The sequence below is a fragment of the Homo sapiens genome, chromosome 1, assembly GCF_000001405.40.
Source record: "Homo sapiens chromosome 1, GRCh38.p14 Primary Assembly".
NCBI lineage: Eukaryota > Metazoa > Chordata > Mammalia > Primates > Hominidae > Homo > Homo sapiens.
In genome coordinates, this window is record NC_000001.11 from 83160786 (window position 1) to 83181841 (window position 21056).

Sequence of the window (21056 nt, forward strand, 5' to 3'; positions counted from 1 at the left end):
GTTTCATGCATTTCAAGTTTGAATAGCATATAAATTTACATTATCAAGATAATTTTTTTACTTTGGAAAACTTTTTGTTCATTTAGATGAATAATTTTCTAACATTAATGTCATATCGAATTACGGCCAAAAAATCCCCTTTAAGTTCTTATATTAGCACTAAGAGTGGATGAAGAGAAAATCTACCAATTCCTTACTTAGTTTTATATCTCCTCTTGACAAATGGAAACCTCATCTGTAGACAGGCAATATTTAGCTACTTTATCTTGATTAATCCGTGGGATAGAGTGAGGTTTGTTAAGTAAGCAATAACACACGACATGATGCATGTTACACTGTAATGAAGCCATGCTTGAGCTGTTTGGTGATACATGAACATCCTCCTCCATCGGATGCTGTTATTCTGTAATAGCAGGAGCTTTGGAATTAGCCACTGATATTTTGATGCCCTCCATTACTGAGAATGTTCATATAAAAATCAAAATAATATGAGACCATATACTATGAAAAGTTTTGCTCTCACTCTCTCATCTTTCCCATCCAAGAGGCCCATCACCATCACTACTCACTTTTAAGCTTATCCTCTGGAGATTTTCTATCCAAATGCAAACAAATACAAACATAAATTCTCATTTTCCTTCTTTCTTACATGAGTGGCAGCAGACTATCCACACTACTTTGTACTTTTTTTAAATAGACTTTTATGCCTTAGCAATCTTTACAAACCTATGACAGCTTCATAGTATTCCATTATTTAGACAAGTCTATGCTTATTTAACCAAAAGTTTCTGGTTGAGCTATGAAAATATCTGTGTAAGGAGAAAGCTTATGTGAAAGAGAATATATAATGTCTACCAAATACACTCTTTTCTATTTTCTATCCCATTTGCAGTTAGGGGACAAGTGCCAGGTGATAAGATCTGGCCAATAATATAAAATTCAAAGGAATGCATGCCACTTCCAGTCAGAGGCAGTGAAAACTCTCTATGTGGTTTTTGGTTCTCTCTCTCACTATGCAATGAAGAAAGAGGCTGAACATTCCTGATGTTGCAGCTACAAGATGAGGGTCTTCATCAGTTCACATATGTGGGCAAACTTGCAGCAAAACTCTGCCACACTGCAATGGTCACATATGGTTTTGTTAGATCACTATAATTTGGGACTTATTTTGATATTGTATAGAATCAAACACTTCGAACTGGAGTAATCCTTGATAATATTCAAGCCAAGAAGTTCTTAAGTCTCTGTGTTGCATGGGAATTTTAAACATATGTTCAATTTAGTTTTCTGGAGAATCGTTAGTAATGATTAGGTTCTTAAAAGGAGTTCAGAGCCTACAATTAGCTAAATTTTATCAATGTGACCTAACCCCTCATTTTACAGACAATGAAAATGAGATTGGGATGTTGGTTTAGAAGGTGTGGCTGAGTTGCAGATCCCCTTCTTCTCAGTTCTATACCGTGCCTCATCACGGCCCATTCTGAGGAGTCCAACTGCATTAAACTCACAGCCCTGATGGAGCCAGCTGTTGTTTTCTACTTCATAAACATACACACCCTTTTAGTAACTAGGGCCAGCATCACAACCTACTTATGTTCATACCCTTCTTCATCTCATCTGTTCAAGTACTCAAGCCAAAAATTTAGGATTTTGCTTTGATCTCTCACTTCACCCTTTCTCCCTCTGAGTAAACCTCTCCTACATATCATGAACTACCAAAAAATCCTGCTCTTCCTGTTTCCATTCACGACCTCTTTTGGACTTGTGAAAGAAAGCAGGAATAATGATCTTTTCAAAAAGTACATAGAACCTCTTAACGTCTTCTTACCACACTTAGAAAGAAATTTGTTCCCAGGTTGCATCACTGGTCTCATCCACCAGAAAATGCTTCCGTGGACATTTGCATGATAACATTCCTTATCATTCAGGTGTCTCCTCCAAGGTCATCTTTAAGAGCGGCCTTCTCTGATGACTTGGCCTGAAATACTCCTTCCCTCTACCACTTTCAACCCATTTACTCTATTTTCTTAACAGAAGGTAAAATAATTTTTAAATTTTATTATTCATTTCTAAGGGTCCATATTCCACTTATAGCATAGATTCTGTAAGACTAAGATGGTGTCTCTTGCTCAATGCCAAATCACAGTACCTAGAACACTAGCTGGTGCTTATGAGTGCTTAATACTTATTAAATCAGTCAACAAATGTTAATTTTCTAATCGTTATCCAAGGTGTTGCCTTGCTCAGAATTTCTTTCATTTTTTTCTTGTATTAGTTAAGCATTACCCATCTTTGAAGGTTTAGGACCATCATGATGGAGCTCCTCCACCTGCCCTCCTGATATAGTTAGTCCCTCTTCTGATACCTACGATAGTTTCAGTTATAAGGTAGACCTGTACTCTTGACAGTTGAGACAGTATTACTTGTGAGAAAACACTTTGCCCTAGAATTCAGAAGACTCAGCCACATCTACTTTTGATTCTAATAGTATTGAGATATAGCCTTGGATAAGTCATATAACTTCGCTAAATCTCAGTTTTCTAACCTTGGAAATGAGAAAGACAAAAATGATAAATAATGATGATACTTCCTTTGAAGCTGCCCACTCCATCTGTGTTTTATGTAATACTCAAGTTCAAGGGCATACTTCATGTTTATGTACACTGTAAAACATAATGCCAATGCAAAGTACTATGATTATTACTGTTGTTATGTATTGTGTGAAGGTATAGTTTATCTCCCTGACTCAGTTTTCTGGGTGCTTTCTATTAGCACTAGTAATAGTGCCAATAGGAACACCTAGGAATGAACCCTTTCAGCTTTTACAGCATTTGTTCCAAGAACATTATAAGGGTGTTTTGAGGGCTGTTGTTAAGTTAAAATACCATTGCTTTTGCTATACCCGCATTTTATGTAAATCAGAGAACTTTTTTCCTACCATGAGAATATTATATCATTTAGCAAAAATGGAATCCCATAGAGCCCAAAATTTAAAACCTTTCATCAATTTTCTGCTAATATCCATTGGTATCAACTAATAACTTTACTCCACTAGTTGTAGAAACTATGCTTTTCTCCCTTTAATTGGCCAATGTCTACAAAGAAATTAGCTGATTTTATTATACATTTTTTTTCACTTGAGGTAATTTTGTAACAACCCTTAATTTAATCCTATCTATGTATGCTATATAAGTGTGTGTATCATGGTTACACAACAGGCTGCAAAAGAACTGCTTCAGAAACATATTGAACAAACTAAGCAATGAAAACTTGCTAATGCACTGTGAGTCACATACTGTGCAAGAGCAGTAAATTGCTTCCTTGGTGGTTTTGACAACATTGCCTCTGTACATAATTGAATGTCATTCATTTATATGTTTGCAAATAAGGTCCCAGTGACATTACACCTGGGAGTGTGCACACTTGGTCATCTGTTTATGACGGAGGAGCCAGACATATGGCCTGTGGACTCGGTTTGGCCCAGAGCTGTTGCAAAGTCCTCCTACCAGTTTTCAGCCAGTCAGCCCCGTCACTGTGAATCAGCTCTGTCAAAGGCAGTGCTTCCCATCAATTAAGGAGGGGAAATGCAGCTTACCCAACTGCCAGTTTGCCAGGGCCTCAGTCCTGAGATGGCAAAAATACTTGAAACTGCAAGAGAATGTCACATGCTATGTAAATAAAAGACAGGAGATAAGACAAGGAGAAAGAGAAATGTTACCATTAAACTTGCAAAAGGGAGAGTCTAGAAAAAAAACCTACTGCATGGAAGTGATTAAGTATGAGTTTTAATACTTACTGTGCTCTAAAGGGTTTGTGTGATATTAGGCAAGTCTCTTTTACCACATCAGCCTTAGTTTTCCTCTCTGTAAAGGAGCTGAATACATTTTTCAACATTTTTTTCTCAGTCAGAAGTATTTTCATCTTTTCTAACTACAAATTCGAAAAAAATTATTAAACAAACTATGTCTATTAATTTGTTTTCCAACTACTATAAAGACATCTACAACTACCAAACCACAGTTACTGATCAGCATGATTATTAACATGTTGGGTTGGTATAATTTCAGCAACAAAGATGTCATTTAACTTTCCGCATAGCCTTGGAATATTTAAATACCTTAGAACTATCTGTAATGCTCCATGGATTTATAATCTTCCTGTGAAAATGCTATGTTTAGTTTTTATTTCAAAAATAGTTAATAAATACTGAGCCAGGCACTGGCATTATTAGGTACTGAGGTAACAAAAACTGTTCTTGATGCATTTCCAAAGTGGTAGAGAAATTGGTAAAGAAAAATCAAATTCAGCAAAAATAGGAAATACAATAATAGACCTACAAATAAAATCTGGGATCATGAGAAGGCCTATCAATATCCTCATTGAAAGAAAAGAGCCACAATAACAAAACCCTATTTGTAGAGACTCACCTAAAAGGAGGAGCCATCTGGCCATACTGCTTACCAGACGTGTGCTCTATGGAATCAAAGCCCTGGAGACACTCATTCAAAAATAGGCTCCCAGACTTAATTTTGCTTGACAAACACAATATTTTCTGTCTCACTCTTAAAGATTTACAATGCATATTTGCATATTAAAGGCTCTAAGAAGTCCCAAAGGCAAAGAAACACATCTAACTTGGCTTGATATAAATTTTCTGAAATATTTGACCAAAGAATCTACTTTTGCAGAATAAAAAATAGTAGCTTAGTTTAGGACACTCTAAATATGGCTTTTGGAATAAACAAGACCATAGCAGAGCCATGTTTTATGATCACATTGTTTTGTGGCCCATTGCCAGTTCCTACCTAGAAAACTTCAAGACCTACAAGACAGGTATTATCAAGCTGCACTGTGGCAGTCTACATGAACATTTACAAAGAAAAACCTCAATGAAATGCATTGAGTTGCTATAAAGATAGCATTAAAGTTGCTGCTCAAACATCACTCAATAGAGACACAGAATAGATTTTTTTATTTAGGTACTCATGCCAGGAATAATGTGTACCTCCCGAATAATTTGTTTGTTTTCTATCATGTTAACACCATGATTTAACTGGTCAATGTTGGCAGAAAAGATCAGAGTCCATTTTATGACTCACAGCAAATGTAGAGAATTCTATATGCATGTCTTGTGTATTAATGTTACTCTTGATTTCATTGTACTTTTTCTACTTTATTTTTCCTTTGCCCTAATTTTCTTATTTTTGAAATGTATCAACACTATAAATGAATATCATTTTAAGAATTCAAACAATTTAAAATCAATTAAAAATTCCACTTTTACCCTTCTCTACTTTGTCAAACCTCTCCTGCCTAACTGTATGCCTATTACAGATAGTTTTGATGTTTCTTACAGTGTCTGTTTATAAAAAGAAAAATATATTATATATATAATTTTGAATAGACTTTATTTTTTAGAGAAGTTTTAGTTTTATAGGAAAATTGAACAGAAAATACCAAGAGTTCCCTTGTAGCCCCTCCTGCCCCACATGCTCAGCCTCCCCCATTATCAACAGTCCTCACCAGAGTGATACTTTTGTTACAGTTGATAAACCTATATTGAGACATCATCATTACCCACATTTCCTACTTTATGCTGGGGTTCACTCTCGGTGATGTACATTCTGTGGGTTTGGACACATGTATAATGACATGTACCACCATTGTAATATCACAGAGTAGTTTCACCTCCACAAATATCCTTTGTGCTCTGCCTATTGATCCCTCTCTCCCCCTAACCCTGGCAACTACCAATCAATTATTTTACTGTCTCCATCTTTTGTCTTTTCCAGCATGTCTAATAGTTGTAGTCACATAGTATATATCCTTTCAGATTGGCTTCTTTTACTTAGTAATGTGCATTTAAGTTTCCTCTAGATGTTTTCATGGCTTGATGGCTTCTTTCTTTCTTTTTAAAGCACTGAATAATATTTCACTGTCCTGATGTACCAAGTTTATCCATTCACCTACTGAAGGACATCTTGGTTGTTCTATGTTTTGGCAAGTATGAATAAAGCTGCTATAAATGTTTATGTGCCAGTTTTTGTGTGGACATAAATTTTCAGTTTATTAGGGTAAACACCAAGGAGTGTGATCGCTGGAGAGTATGGTCAAAGTATGCTTAGTTTGGTAAGTGGCTGTACCATTTTACATCCCCATGAGCAATGGATAAAATTTCTTGGTGCTCTACATTTTCCACAGCATGTTCTGGATTTTGACCACTCTAATTGGTAGGTAGTGGTATCTCGTTGTTTTAACTCACATTTCCCTGGTGACATATGATGTAGAAGAGAATCTTTTTGGTAGTTTATTTCACAGCTGTTTTATATATATACAATGTTAATTTGTTAATGAGATCTTAGTCTATGTTTTATTTTTTAAGTTTCTTTGTCAGTCTGGGAATTTTTTTATGGATGGGGTCTTGCTATGTTGTCCAGACTGGTCTTGAACTCCTTGCCTCAAGCCATCTTCCCACCTCAGCCTCCCGAGTAGCTGAGACTACAATCATGCACCACCACACCTGGCTAATTAAGTCATCTTCTAATGAATGTATAATATCAATATAATAAGTAAAACAGTATTTAACCATTCCAATATTGATATTATACAGTTTTCTTCTATTAAAACAAGGATACGGTGGAGCCAAGATGGCCGAATAGGAGCAGCTCCGGTCTACAGCTCCCAGCATGAGCGACACAGAAGATGGGTGATTTCTGCATTTCCATCTGAGGTACCGGGTTCATCTCACTAGGGAATGCCAGACAGTGGGTGCAGGACAGTGGGTGCAGTGCACCGTGCGTGAGCTGAAGCAGGGCAAGGCATTGCCTCATTCGGGAAGCACAAGGGGTCAGGGAGTTCCCTTTCCTAGTCAAAGAAAGGGGTGACAGACGGCAACTGGAAAATCGGGTCACTCCCACCCTAATACTGCCCTTTTCCAATGGGCTTAAAAATCGGCATACCAGGAGATTATATCCCGCATCTGGCTCGGAGGGTCCTACACCCATGGAGTCTCGCTGATTGCTAGCACAGCAGTCTGAGATCAAACTGCAAGGGGGCAGCAAGGCGGGGGAAGGGCGCCTGCCATTGCCCAGGCTTGATTAGGTAAACAAAGCAGCCTGGAAGCTCAAACTGGGTAGAGCCCACCACAGCTCAAGGAGGCCTGCCTGCCTTTGTAGGCTCCACCTCTGGGGGCAGGGCACAGACGAACAAAAAGACAGCAGTAACCTCTGCAGACTTAAATGTCCCTGTCTGACAGCTTTGAAGAGAGCAGTGTTTCTCCCAGCACGCAGCTGGAGATCTGAGAACGGGCAGACTGCCTCCTCAAGTGGGTCCCTGAGCCCCGAGCAGCCTAAATGGGAGGCACCCCCCAGTAGGGGCAGACTGACACCTCACACGGCCGGGTACTCCTCTGAGACAAAACCTCCAAAGGAATGATCAGGCAGCAGCATTTGCGGATCACCAATATCCGCTGTTCTACAGCCACTGCTGTTCTGCAGTCACCGCTGCTGATACCCAGGCAAACAGGGTCTGGAGTGACCTCTAGCAAACTCCAACAGACCTGCAGCTGAGGTCCTGTCTGTTAGAAGGAAAACTAACAAACAGAAAGGACATCCACACCAAAAACCCATCTGTACGTCACCATCATCAAAGACCAAAAGTAGATAAAACCACAAAGATGGGGAAAAAACAGAGCAGAAAAACTGGAAACTCTAAAAAGCAGAGCACCTCTCCTCCTCCCAAGGAATGCAGCTCCTCACCAGCAACAGAACAAAGCTGGATGGAGAATGACTTTGATGAGTTGAGAGAAGAAGGCTTCAGATGATCAAACTACTCTGAGCTACAGGAGGAAATTCAAACCAATGGCAAAGAAGTTAAAAACTTTGAAAAAAAATTAGACGAATGGATAACTAGAATAACCAATGCAGAGAAGTCCTTAAAGGACTTGATGGAGCTGAAAGCCAAGGCTCGAGAACTACGTGAATAATGCAGAAGCCTCAGAAGCCAATGCGATCAACGGGAAGAATGGGTATCAGCGATGGAAGATGAAATGAATGAAATGAAGCGAGAAGGGAAGTTTAGAGAAAAAAGAATAAAAAGAAAAGAACAAACCCTCCAAGAAATATGGGACTATGTGAAAAGACCAAATCTATGTCTGATTGGTGTACCTGAAAGTGATGGGGAGAATGGAACCAAGTTGGAAAACACTCTGCAGGATATTATCCAGGAGAACTTTCCCAATCTGGCAAGGCAGGCCAACATTCAGATTCAGGAAATACAGAGAACACCACAAAGATACTCCTCGAGAAGAGCAACTCCAAGACACATAATTATCAGATTCACCAAAGTTGAAATGAAGGAAAAAATGTTAAGGGCAGCCAGAGAGAAAGGTTGGGTTACCCACAAAGGGAAGCACATCAGACTAACAGCGGATCTCTCGGCAGAAACTCTACAAGCCAGAAGAGAGTGGGGATCAATATTCAACATTCTTAAAGAAAAGAATTTTCAACCCAGAATCTCATATCCAGCCAAACTAAGCTTCATAAGTGAAGGAGAAATAAAATACTTTACAGACAAGCAAATGCTGAGAGATTTTGCCACCACCAGGCCTGCCCTAAAAGAGCTCCTGAAGGAAGCACTAAACATGGAAAGGAACAAACGGTACCAGCCACTGCAAAAACATGCCAAAATGTAAAGACCATCAAGGCTAGGAAGAAACTGCATCAACTAACAAGCAAAATAACCAGCTAACATCATAATGACAGGATCAAATTCACACATAATAATATTAACTTTAAATGTAAATGGGCTAAATGCTCCAATTAAAAGATACAGACTGGCAAATTGGATAAAGAGTCAAGACCCATCAGTGTGCTGTATTCAGGAAACCCATCTCACGTGCAGAGACACACATAGGCTCAAAATAAAAGGATGGAGGAAGATCTACCAAGCAAATGGAAAACAAAAAAAGGCAGGGGTTGCAATCCTAGTCTCTGATAAAACAGACTTTAAACCAACAAAGATCAAAAGAGACAAAGAAGGCCATTACATAATGGTAAAGGGATCAATTCAACAAGAAGAGCTAACTATCCTAAATATATATGCACCCAATACAGGAGCACCCAAATTCATAAAGCAAGTCCTGAGTGACCTACAAAGAGACTTAGACTCCCACACAATAATAATGGGAGACTTTAACACGCCACTGTCAACATTAGACAGATCAACGAGACTGAAAGTTAACAAGGATACCCAGGAATTGAACTCAGCTCTGCACCAAGAAGACCTAATAAACATCTACAGAACTCTCCACCCCAAATAAAGAGGATATACATTTTTTTCAGCACCACACCACACCTATTCCAAAACTGACCACATACTGGGAAGTAAAGCTCTCCTCAGCAAATGTAAAAGAACACAAATTATAACAAACTGTCTCTCAGACCACACTGCAATCAAACTAGAACTCAGGATTAAGAAACTCACTCAAAACCGCTCAACTACATGGAAACTGAACAACCTGCTCCTGAGTGACTACTGGGTACATAACAAAATGAAGGCAGAAATAAAGATGGTCTTTGAAACCAACGAGAACAAAGACAAAACATACCAGAATCTCTGGGACACATTCAAAGCAGTGTGTAGAGGGAAATTTATAGCAGTAAATGCCCACAAGAGAAAGCAGGAAAGATCCAAAATTGATACCCTAACATCACAATTAAAAGAATTAGAAAAGCAAGAGCAAACACATTCGAAAGCTAGCAGAAGGCAAGAAATAACTAAAATCAGAGCAGAACTGAAGGAAATAGAGACACAAAAAAACCCTTCAAAAATTAATGAATCTAGGAGCTGGTTTTTTGAAAAGATCAACAAAATTGATAGACCACTAGCAAGAGTAATAAAGAAGAAAAGAGAGAAGAATCAAATAGACGCAATAAAAAATGATAAAGAAGATATCACCACCAATCCCACAGAAATACAAACTATCATCAGAGAATACTACAAACACCTCTACCCAAATAAACTAGAAAATCTAGAAGAAATGGATAAATTCCTCGACACATACACTCTCCCAAGACTAAACCAGGAAGAAGTTGAATCTCTGAATAGACCAGTAACAGGCTCTGAAATTGTGGCAATAATCAATAGCTTACCAACCAAAAAGAGTCTGGGACCAGATGGATTCACAGCCGAATTCTACCAGAGGTACAAGGAGGAACTGGTACCATTCCTTCTGAAACTATTCCAATCAATAGAAAAAGAGGGAATCCTCCCTAACTCATTTTATGAGGCCAGCATCATCCTGATACCAAAGCCTGGCAGGGACACAACCAAAAAAGAGAATTTTAGACCAATATCCTTGATGAACATTGATGCAAAAATCCTCAAGAAAATACTGGCAAACCAAATCCAGCAGCACATCAAAAAGCTTATCCACCATGAACAAGTGGGCTTCATCCCTGAGATGCAAGGCTGATTCAACATATGCAAATCAATAAATGTAATCCAGCATATAAACAGAACCAAAGACAAAAACCACATGATTATCTCAATAGATGCAGAAAAAGCCTTTGACAAAATTCAACAACCCTTCATGCTAAAAACTCTCAATAAATTAAGTATTGATGGGACGTATCTCAAAATAATAAGAGCTATCTATGACAAACCCACAGCCAATATCATACTGAATGGGCAAAAACTGGAAGCATTCCCTTTGAAAGCTGGCACAACACAGGGATGCCCTCTCTCACCACTCCTATTCAACATAGTGTTGGAAGTTCTGGCCAGGGCGATTAGGCAGGAGAAGGAAATAAAGGGTATTCAGTTAGGAAAAGGGGAAGTCAAATTGTCCCTCTTTGCAGATGGCATGATTGTATATCTAGCAGACCCCATTGTCTCAGCCCAAAATCTCCTTAAGCTGATAAGCAACTTCAGCAAAGTCTCAGGATACAAAATCAATGTGCAAAAATCACAAGCATTCTTATACACCAATAACAGACAAACAGAGAGTCAAATCATGAGTGAACTCCCATTCACAATTGCTTCAAAAAGAATAAAATACCTAGGAATCCAACTTACAAGGGATGTGAAGGACCTCTTCAGGGAGAACTACAAACCACTGCTCAAGGAAATAAAAGAGGATACAAACAAATGGAAGAAAATTCCATGCTCATGGGTAGGAGGAATTAATATCGTGAAAATGGCCATACTGCCCAAGGTAATTTATAGATTCAATGCCATCCCCATCAAGCTACCAATGACTTTCTTCACAGAATTGGAAAAAACTACTTTAAAGTTCATATGGAACCAAAAAAGAGCCCGCATCACCAAGTCAATCCTAAGCCAAAAGAACAAAGCTGGAGGCATCACGCTACCTGACTTCAAACTATACTACAAGGCTACAGTAACCAAAACAGCATGGTACTGGTATCAAAACAGAGATATTGATCAATGGAACAGAACAGAGCCCTCAGAAATAATGCCGCATATCTACAACCATCTGATCTTTGAAAAACCTGACAAAAACAAGCAATGGGGAAAGGATTCCCTATTTAATAAATGGTGCTGGGAAAACTGGCTAGTCACATGTAGAAAGCTGAAACTGGATCCTTTCCTAACACCTTATACAAAAATCAGTTGAAGATGGATTAAAGACTTACATGTTAGACCTAAAACCATAAAAACCCTAGAAGGTAACTTAGGCAATACCATTCAGGACATAAGCATGGGCAAGGACTTCATGTCTAAAAGACCAAAAGCAATGGTAACAAAAGCCAAAATCAACAAATGGGATCTAATTAAACTAAAGAGCTTCTGCACAGCAAAAGAAACTACCATCAGAGTGAACAGGCAACCTATAAACTGGGAGAAAATTTTTGCAACCTACTCATCTGACAAAGGTCTAATATCCAGAATCTACAATGAACTCAAACAAATTTACAAGAAAAAGACAAACCACCCCATCAAACAGTGGGAGAAGGACATGAACAGACACTTCTCAAAAGAAGACATTTATGCAGCCAAAAAACACATGAAAAAATGCTCATCATCACTGGCCATCAGAGAAATGCAAATCAAAACCACAATGAGATACCATCTCACACCAGTTAGAATGGCAATCATTAAAAAGTCAGTAAAAAACAGGTGCTGGAGAGGATGTGGAGAAATAGGAACACTTTTACACTGTTGGTGGGACTGTAAACTAGTTCAACCATTGTAGAAGTCAGTGTGGCGATTCCTCAGGGATCTAGAACTAGAAATACCATTTGACCTAGCCATCCCATTACTGGGTATATCCCCAAAGGATTATAAATCATGCTGCTATAAAGACGCATGCACACGTGTTTATTGCGGCACTATTCACAATAGCAAAGACTTGGAACCAACCCAAATGTCCAACAACAATAGACTGGATTAAGAAAACGTGGCACATATACACCATGGAATACTATGCAGCCATAAAAAATGATGAGTTCATGTCCTTTGTAGGGACATGGATGAAACTGGAAACCATCATTCTCAGCAAACTACTGCAAGGACAAAAAACCAAACACTGCATGTTCTCACTCATAGATGGGAATTGAACAGTGAGAACACATGGACACAGGAAGGGGAATATCACACGTCAGGGACTGTTGTGCGGTAGGGGAAGGGGGGAAAAATAACATTAGGAGATATACCTAATGCTAAATGACGAGTTAATGAGTGCAGCACACCAACATAGCACATCTATACATATGTAACAAACCTGCACATTGTGCACATGTACCCTAAAACTTAAAGTATAATAATAATAAAATAAAAATAAAATTAAAAAAAAAGAAAGAAAGAAAAAGAAAAGTCATGTTCTTGCATCCAGGAATTCCACTTCTAGGAATCTGTCCTAAGGAAATCATCACATGTATCATCAAAGACTTACAAAGATATTCATCACACTTATTTATAATAGTGTAGAAAATGGAAAAGCATATAAATGTATAAATGTTCGTTAATAATAGTTAAAATTGAAAAAAATAAAAAAATAAAAAATAAAAAATAAAATAAAACAAGGATACACCAGACATGCTTCTGTATATATATTTTGCACAAATACATTAATTCACTTAGCAAGTATTAATTGATGCCAATTTTCTTGCTGATAGGTTATAGGTTTTTTTGTGATCATATGTTTTTCTATAGGTTATTTTATAGTTTATAGGTTTTTTATAGGTTATAGTTGATGGGTTTGTTTTTTTTTTTTTTGTGATTCATCAGTGAACAAAAGAGTCAAAGATTTTTGTACTCCTGAATCTCAAAATGTAATGACCGGGATAGGTAATAAAATGATAAATAGTAAAAAGTAAACTATGTAGTATTATAATGTGACACATTCTATGAAAAAAGAAAAAGCAGAGCAAAGTAAATGGGTGCAGAAGTGTAGGGAGTGGGAGTGTATGTTCCAGTTTTAAATAAGATGATTAGGGCCTGTCTTACTGAAAAAGACTTGAGCAAATACTTGAATGAGATAAGGGAAAGTTAACCACATTATAGAAGTTCATTTTCAGGATAGAAACAACAAGCACAAAAGCCTTCAGTTGGGAAGGTGGAGGGAGAGCAGCAGACAGTTGTAGCTGGAGCAGAGTGATCAATGAGGACAACAATGGTCCAGAAGATCAGAGAGGTCTGGGCTGTGGGGGCGGGTAGGTTATGTAAGACCCTGTCAGGCACATGCGAACTTAGGGTTTACTCTGAGTGACATGAGGGGTGGGGTGGGGGAAAACCAGTGAGGATTTCAGAATAGGAGGCGCAAGACCTGGCTTCTGTTTTAAAAGGTTGTTTCTGACTGCCATGCTGGGAATAGATTGTGTAGGGTGAGAGGACACATGCAGGAAGATCAGGTAAAAGGCCATCATAGAAATTCAGGAAATAAATAGTGGGGCACAGATCAGATTTACGGAGATGGAAGATGAAAAATGTGGTCAGGTTGGGAAACAAGTAATAACTTGTTTACATGCTGATGAGAATGATCCAGTAGGAAAAGGGGAGAAAATGGTGTTAAAGGAGAGACAAGGAAATTGCTGGAAAATGTTCTTTGCTAAGTAAAAGCTGCTGGAATGTAGTGCACGTGGGAAGAAACTGACTTTAGATAGTAGTTCAGATAGTTCACCTGGGGCAACAAGATGGGCAGCAGGGAGTGTGGGTTTGTAAACGGTGTGGGGGCAGACGTGGTGATGGGAATCTGTGATGTTTTCTTTTAATCATTTGAATATTCTTCATGAAATCAGATGTACAGTGATCACTTGAGAGTAAGGACAGGGAGGAGGTGTTTTACATATAAGAAAGCAGAAAAAGGTGTGAAATTGAAACAGGATAGTGAAGGAATTAAAGGAATGGGAAACACTGTAATTGCCTGACTAGCATTAACAGATCTCTATGAGGTTTGTGGTTACGAATTTAAGATGAGAAATGATGGTTGTGTATTGATCTCTACCTATGTTTAGCTGCAGAATTATAGACATAGAGAATGGTGATCTGGATTTAACCAAGTTGTGGTTTTTCCAAACAAGTCAAAGCAATAAGAGGGAGGCAGGCAGTTAAGGATGTATATGTGGAAGTGATTGTTAAGGATTTCCCATGGAATTTAACTTGAGTTATGAGAAGTTAGATTAGAAGATCAAAGGGTTGAGGCATAATGAAAAGTTGATTGAATCAATTGATTGGAGATCCCAGTGGGATTAAAGAATTTTTGTTGTCTGGAACTAGAGAAAGTAAACTGGAAAGACAGATGGTGGAAATCAGAGAGAGGGACAAATGTACAAAAAGGGAGAGAGAGGAGGTGTAATAGGAAATTAGATGAGGTTGAAGCAGCAGCCAGGATCCCAATCCAAATGTCTGAAATGTGTTTGCCTAAGTGTATATTATGTATGTGTGTGTATAAGACACACAAAAGAGGAATTGCTGTATCAATCAAATCAATCATAAGATATATCCACTTCCAAACATTTTAATAGATTCCATGTATCCTTTAATAATATTGCAATTTATACCATCATAAACAATGTGTAATATTTATCATTTCTTCAGATACATGCCAAAATTAAATTAGTGCTGATCTATATAAATTTACCCTATTTAAGGGGCAAAGTTATTGCAGGTTATTTAAATAAGTATTTTTAAAGGTTTATAGGACATTTTTATATCATTTATGTTGAATATTTAGAGTTTTGCTTATTATTTTATGTGTTTGCATTTTAAATTATATTGACTTCTAGAGGTTCTGTATTTGATGTGTGTATTAAACATTTATTTAACACATATGTTAAAAGTATACTCTTTTGCTCTGTGCTCTGTCACTTCTATTGTAGTTTAGTTTGTGCTGCCTTTCCCTACACAGGCATACCTTGCAGAAGCTGCAAATTTGGATCCAGATCACCGCAATAGAGCAAATATCACAATAAAGCAGGTCACATGATTCTTTTGATTTTCCAGTGCATATAAAAGTTATGTTTATGCTATACTATAGTCTATTAATTATGTAATAGTATTATTTCTAAAAAATAACCTGCATACCTTAATGAAAATGTTTTATTAAGAAATGTTAATGATCACTTTCGCTTTCAAGCCAGTCTTCATCTGTTTGCTGATGGAGGACCTTGCCTTGACAATGATAGCTACTGACTGATCAGGGTGGTGGTTGCTGAAGGATGGGGTGGCTGTGGCAATTTCTAAAATAAGACAACAATGAAGTCTGCCACATCTACTGACTCTTCCTTTCATGAAAGATTTCTCCATAGCAGGTGATGCTGTTTGATAGCATTTTACCTACAGTAGAACCTCTTTCAAAATTCGAGTCAAATTTTTCAAATTCTGATGCTGCTGATAAAGTTTATCAAATATTCTAGAATTTTGTTATCATTTCAATAATGTTCACAGCATCTTCACCAGGAATAGATTCCATTTCAATAAACTTATTTCTTTGCTCATCCATAAGAAGCAACTCCTTATTTGCTAAAGTTTTATCATGAGACTGTAGTGATTCAGTCACATCTTCAGGCTTTACTTCTTTTTTTTTTTTTTTAATTTTACTTTAAGTTCCTGGATACACGCGCAGAAAGTGCAGGATTGTTTACATAAGTATACATGTGCCATGATGGTTTCCTGCACCTATTAACCTGTCATCTAGGTTTTAAGCCCCACATGCATTAGGTATTGGTCCTAATACTCTCCCTCCTATTACTTCCCATCCCCTAACAGGCTCCGGTGCGTGTCCTTCCCCTCCCAGGCAGGCTTTACTTCTAATTCTAGTTCTCCTGCTGTTTCCACAACATCTGCAGGGATTTTCTCCACTGAAATCTAAAACCCCTCAAAGTAATCTATGAGGGTTGGAATTAACTTCTTCCAGATTTCTGTTAATGTTGATTTTTGACCTGTTCTCATGAATCACAAATGTTCTTAATGACTTCTAGAATGGTAAACCCTTTCCAGAAGGCTTTCAATGTACCTTGCCCAGATCCATTGGGGAAATCACTATCTATGGCAAATATAGCATTATGAAATATATTTCTTAAGTAATAAGACTTGAAAGTAAAAATTACTCTTTGATCCATGGGCTGCACAATTGATGTTTTATTAGCAGGCATGAAAACATTAATTTCCTTGTACCTCTCCGTCAGAGCTCTTGGGTGATTAAGTTATTGTCAATGTGCAATAATATTTTGAAAGAAATCTTTTTTCTGAGCAGTAGGTCTTAACACTGGGCTTAAAATATTTGTATACCGTGCTATCATCTAGGCTTTGTCATTCCATTTATAGAGCATAGGCAGAGTAGATTTTGCACAATTCTGAAGGGTCCTAGGGATTTTGGAATGGCAAATAAGTATTGGCTTCAATTAGAAGTTACTAGCTGCATTAGCCCCTAAGAATCACATCAGCCTGTCCTCTGAAGCTTTGAAACCAGACATTGACTTCTCTCTTACTATGAAAGTCCTAGATGATATCTTCTTTCAATATAGGTTGTTTTGTCTACATTGAAAATCTGTTGCTTAATGTAGCCATCTTCATCAGTTATCTTAGCTAGATCTTCTGGATAACTCACTCCTGCTTCTACACTAGCACTTGCTGTTTCACCTTGCACTTTTATATTACAGATACAGCTTCTTTTCTTAAACCTTATGAGCCAACCTCTGCTAGCTTCAAACTTTTCTTCCAAAGCTTCCTCACCTCTCTCAACCTTCACAGAATTGAAGACAGTTAGGGCTTTGCTCTGGATTAGGCTTTGGCTTAGGAGAATGTTGTGGCTGGCTTGGTATTCTATCCGGATCACTAAAACTTTCTCCATATCATGAATAAGCCTGTTTTGCTTCCTTACCATTGATGTGTTCATTGGAGTAGCACTTTTAATTTCCTTCAAGAATTTTTTCTCTGCACTCATATCTTTGCTAAATGTTTGGCACAAGAGGCCTAGCTTTTAGCCTATCTCAACTTCAACATGCCTTCTTCATTAGTCTTTTCACCTGAACATTTAGAGGGCCACGTAGGATTATTAATTGACCTAGTTTCCATATTGTTGTGTCTTAGGGAGTAGGGTGGCCTGAGGAGGGGAAGGAAGATGGGGAATGGCCAGTCTTTGGAGTAGTCAGAACATACACATTTATCAATTAAGTTTGCCATCTTATATGGGCATGAGTTGTGATGCCTCAAAGCAATTACCATACTAACATGGAAAATCACTGATCACAGAACACCATAACAGATATAATAATAATTTAAAAGTTTGAAATACTGTGAGAATTACCAAATGTGACACAGAGACAGAAAGTGAGCACAGGCTTTTGGGAAAATGGTGCTGATGGACTTGCTGGATGCAAGCTTGCCACAAAACTTCAATTTCTAAAAAAATTCTGTGAAGTGCAATAAAGCAAAGCATAAAACAAAGTATGCCTGTATTAGCAATTAAAGTTTGTGTATAGTCAACTATGTTAATCTTGTTTCATAGTTTCTTAATTTTCTATATGCTTAAGAGATTTCCTCCTAAGATATATATGTATTATTCTACATTTTCTTCAAATTTGTTTATAATTTTTCTTTAACACATTTTCCCATTTTTTTTCTAATTATACTGGCAATTTTATAACACCTTTAATTTTAGGAATGAGATGTGGAAATGAATAAATGATAGCAATGAACCTTTAGACATTTCTTACAATGTGCCAGGTGCTGTTCTAAGGCCTTTACTTGTACTAACTGATTTAAGGTTTATAACAACCCTAAGAGGTAGGTGCTATAATTTGCCTCATTTCACAGATGAGGAAACTGGTGTATAGGAAGGTTTAGTAACTTTCCCAAGGTCAAAAGACTGGTGAATTTTCATCCTGTATTCAAACCCAGGAAGTCTGGCTCCCAAGTCACTACATTATATGCTACTGTCTGGTAAGCTATTAAATTATGCCCCTAAAGTATGGGAAGTTATGCTGAAATTGATATTTCAACTGATCTTCAACAGTGTATTGAGAAATAAATAGAACTGTGATGAAAGGAAGTGGAAATAAGAGCCTATACCATAACACGGCACTGTAAGTTGGTGATATTTTCTAGATATGGAGAAAAGATCATTGTCACAGGTGTATCAGATACATGGGGTGGAGACTGGGAGCTGAGATAAAAAAGGAAGGTTTTCAGTAATGGGTTTGGTCAGGATTTTACCCTGAATGAGAAAGTAACAGTTTGACTGTTGTTGGAGTACAGTGTAGAAGTTAAGAACAGATTTTAATTCTGACTCTATTATGATCTAGCTCTCCAAAATCAGAATCTAACCTTTGGTAGAGTCATCTCATAAATCAAAATAAAAATCAAGGTTGGTTTAAAGATTTAAATATTATAATGAATGTTCAGCATTTAGCTAAAGTCTGGTCAAGTGATAGGCAGTACTCTCAACTGCCATTATTACTAGTCAAAGCAAGATTTGGTGAGATAGTGGACAATCTAGTCAGACAGATGAAAAAAAAAACCTTTAAGTGGTAGTAGGCACAGGTTTTGACTATCAGGCAAATTCAGAGAAGGAGGAAAAAAAACAAATAAGGATGACACTGATACTTTGAGGTTTCGAGACTATGTACTTAATGATGTAAACTGGGGGTCAAAATGAAGAAGAAGGAAGAAATTGAAGGACAAAGTGGGCTGGGCATAGTGGCTCATGCCTGTAATCCCAGCACTTTGGGAGGCCAAGGTGGGCAGATCACCTGAGGTCAGGAGTTCGAGACCAGACTGGGCAACATGGTAAAACCCTGTCTCTACTAAAAATACACACACAAAATAAAATTAACCAGGTGTGGTGGCAGTAGCCTGTAATCCCAGCTACTCAGGAGGCTGAGGCAGGAGAATCGCTTGAACCAGGAAGGCAGAGTTTGCAGTGAGCCAATATTGTACCACTGCATTCCAGCCTGGTTGACAGAGCAAGACTGCATCTCAAAAATAAATAAATAAATACGTAAATAAATAAAATATTAAAAAGAACAAAGTGCTCACTTTATTTTTAGAAACATCAAAGTGAGATACTTCAAGTCTAGCTATGAAGATATAGAATATATGTGTATGTATAGAAGTCTCTCTATATTCTGATTATCCCAATATTAACAAGACATAATAAAATCAGTTTATAAAATATTATATCTACTAAAATCTCTGTTAATCAATATCACCATGTTTTACCAGTAGAATAAAAAATTATAAAGTACATAACATTGACTCTGAGAAACTGTAATAGCTTAAAGTGCCTTCTGGATCCCCAGAGATTAAATTATATAGAGTATTATTTTACTGTTTAATGTATTTTATTGCATTCTAATTATATAAATGTATGTAAACCACAAAAGCTATGAGTATGAAGAAAATGCATTCTGGTTTCTGGAACGGTCTCAATTTTAAGATTATTTATCTGTTTAGTAAGCTGTGTATTTAAAAATAATAACATTTATTGAGTTCATCCACTGACTGTCAAGTATCTCTGTGTGTCCACAGCATAGGCAATGTTAACACAGAGCTGGTGATAGCAGGAGACGGATCTGCAGAGACAAGCAAGGGTAGCTTCATCAAGGCAACACCCATTTCTTGAAACAATGGCTGTCTCCAAACAAAGTCTCCACTGCTCTTTATTTGCCTCTGAAAAATATCTAGCTGATTATGCAAAAATGCCCTACTCTTTTGCTATGCTAGGTTAAATTAAATTTATTATGTTGTTATGTTTCCGTTTTTATTATTTCTGAATACTGATACAGTGTTTTTAGAAGCCAGATTAGAGTTTTTCAAATTAGAGTTTCAAAATGTTCTCCTAACCCGAGGAAATTAATTTTATGAGCGACTTAAGCATCTACACTCTAAAAAGACACCTGCTTTCTCATGGTAAATATATGACTTTAGGATAATTTAAAGAGCCTTTGAAAAGTTAAAAAAGATCAGCAAAATCTACTAATAAAAACAGACAAGATGCTCAGGGGATTCAAAGTAGGTTAAGCTATCAAAATATAAATGCCATTTGAGAGGGATTCTGGCACTAAATTTAGGATTTTAGCATTTTGACACTGATAAATCTTGCTGCAGGGTTCCTAAATCTGATGAGAACACCTGGTAGTGATGCCCAAATGCCTGAATTAAAATATAGTTTTGATATTTCAGTTATTAGATTAAAATCAGAAACCTTTAAACACACAATAATTTATGTAGGATCCTTTTTGTGGGAGACTTCTAAAGTAGAGATTGACTCAGTTTGACTCTGGAAAGCTTCTAAATTGAAGACTTTAAGTGTATATGCCTTGGCCATATGATGCAATTTTATTCCATATCAAATGGAGAAGTCAAAAAGTAGAGTATGATATCATGCTGTTAAGACATAATGAGAAGATTTAAAAATTCTTTTAAATAAACTCTTTAATGGAAATATTCAGAGAGGATAAAAATATTCAGGTGGTATGATTTGACCTTTAGAGTCACATAAGAAAGATGAGTTAAATTCATTATTTATCTAGGTATTGCCTATTATAAAATAATAGAGACTTCAAGTGCTTTATATATAACCATTAGAAAGA

The 21056-nt window shown here is 37.2% G+C and overlaps 1 long non-coding RNA gene across 1 annotated transcript in view, besides 2 other annotated features; it reads left to right on the top strand.

Annotated features, from left to right (window-relative positions):
- The window catches only part of LINC01362 (long intergenic non-protein coding RNA 1362), a 263633-nt gene extending 257603 nt beyond the window's left edge, over nt 1-6030 (top strand). Inside the window, exon 11 of the long non-coding RNA NR_147074.1 lies at nt 5919-6030. This is a non-coding gene — a long non-coding RNA (long intergenic non-protein coding RNA 1362). The remainder of the gene's footprint in view (nt 1-5918) is intronic.
- Nucleotides 6688-7188: an enhancer, noted in NCBI's record as "H3K4me1 hESC enhancer chr1:83633156-83633656 (GRCh37/hg19 assembly coordinates)". NCBI's record gives its function as "activates a minimal SCP1, AML or CMV promoter by ChIP-STARR-seq in naive H9 embryonic stem cells {active_cell/tissue: H9 hESC(naive)}" and the evidence as "EXISTENCE:reporter gene assay evidence [ECO:0000049][PMID:30033119]".
- Nucleotides 7189-7689: an enhancer, noted in NCBI's record as "H3K4me1 hESC enhancer chr1:83633657-83634157 (GRCh37/hg19 assembly coordinates)". NCBI's record gives its function as "activates a minimal SCP1, AML or CMV promoter by ChIP-STARR-seq in naive H9 embryonic stem cells {active_cell/tissue: H9 hESC(naive)}" and the evidence as "EXISTENCE:reporter gene assay evidence [ECO:0000049][PMID:30033119]".